The following is a 1,625-nucleotide window of genomic DNA, read 5'->3' on the forward strand; positions in this document are numbered from 1 at the left end:
TGGAAATTAAATTTATGAGATTAAAATGTATTTCTGATCAACTGAGAGTTAATGATAAGACATTTTGTTTTGGTTCATGTTGATTTAAAAATATTTTTCCTGCCTTTTTTCTCAGCATAGCTCACCATCAACCTTTTATTAGTTGTGGAAAAGTTCTTACAGTGATTTGTGGATTTGAGGTTGTGGTTGACATGCTAAATATACATTTTTCATCATACATCTTGGTCCATGAGAATGAAGGAAAGTTAAATAAAGACATACTAATCCCAGAATATACCATGGATTTTTTTTAAATCTCTTATATCAACATATTCCGTTGTAATTCCTCTTTATCCTAAAAGTAGATTGCAAATATTTCCAAATCCGTAACAGCATCACTCTACCATTGCCAATTACACCTTTTCATAAAAATGTGTCCAACAGACTTGAGCCTGGAGCAGAGTACATACGTTCATTCTCTACCCATGCCTAAGCAGCAGCAGCTGTGAGCTCAGACTCCTGGCAAAGACAGAGGGGCTCAAGGAGCAGATGGCTGGGAAGAGCCTTCTTCCCTCCTATCCGCTCATACACATGAACTTCCCTCACAAAGATCCTCTTCTTATCCATACCTCCCTGCCAGAAAACCATTGTCTCATCTGTTTTTGAGCCCTCCTCTAAGAGTTCATAACCATTTCTTCACTTAGCAAATACCCTCCAGGCAGCTACCAAATGCAAGGCAATGTTTTAATGAATGTGAATCTTTAGGTCCCTGCTTTGTGGAGCTTCCATTGTAGCCAGAGAAGGCAAGTTACAATCTATTCAACAAATGAGCAAGAGATTATTCCTACTGAGCTCTACAAAGGAAATTGCCCAGGGGTGGGACAGAGACCCTGAAGCAGGAAGGTGATGCTGCCTCAGGTAAGATACTCCGAGGGGATGCTCCTGGAAGAGGGACAGACTGGCAAGAAGAATTTGGCCATTGAAGGACTGGGAAAAAAGAAAAGGAAACTGTGAGTAAGGAGGAACTGCATGCACAAATGTCCCTGCCTGAGAAGGGGCTCAGCTTGTGTGAGAACCTGGGAGTGAGATAGCAAGTTCAGAGGGGCCCTGGAAAGGAGTGCACATAAGACTTGCGTATCTATGGTCTTCAACATGCAAAGCATGGAGACATTGGACCATGTGGAACTTGAGACACACATGTGGGGGCACCAGAGTTACCAGAAGAAGGCCAACCTTCTGACCTGGATGATTTGTACAGTTAGGGGCTGCCCCTCACCCCCTTCTCTGCCTGTGGAGCTTGAGCCCCTCTTCACAGGCACAACCCAGGAGTGTAGTGTTGGCGAGGGGAAGAGGTGGCCTCAACCAGTGGGGAAGAGGTTGGGGGATAAATGCCCCAGCCTCTCCATATAGTAGGGCCATTATGCCCCAACTTCCATATGGTCTCTTGAAAGCTCCCCAGAAGGACTGACTCCCAGCTGCCCACACAGTCATCCACTCTCTACTGGTTTTCCTTCCTTCCTGTTTCATTTTTCCACTTCCTCACCTTTGCTTCCTGGAATAATTCCCCAAATAAACTTCCTTGACTCTTAACAAAGACTCCAAGATTGGATGATCTAGAGCAAGGGACAATAAGCTTTCCTATAAAG

The 1,625-nt window shown here is 44.2% G+C and overlaps 1 annotated feature.

Moving 5' to 3' along the window:
* Positions 528 to 1,051: an enhancer, noted in NCBI's record as "NANOG hESC enhancer chr2:235570023-235570546 (GRCh37/hg19 assembly coordinates)". NCBI's record gives its function as "activates a minimal SCP1, AML or CMV promoter by ChIP-STARR-seq in naive H9 embryonic stem cells {active_cell/tissue: H9 hESC(naive)}" and the evidence as "EXISTENCE:reporter gene assay evidence [ECO:0000049][PMID:30033119]".

Source organism: Homo sapiens, chromosome 2 (genome assembly GCF_000001405.40).
Source record: "Homo sapiens chromosome 2, GRCh38.p14 Primary Assembly".
Lineage (NCBI taxonomy): Eukaryota > Metazoa > Chordata > Mammalia > Primates > Hominidae > Homo > Homo sapiens.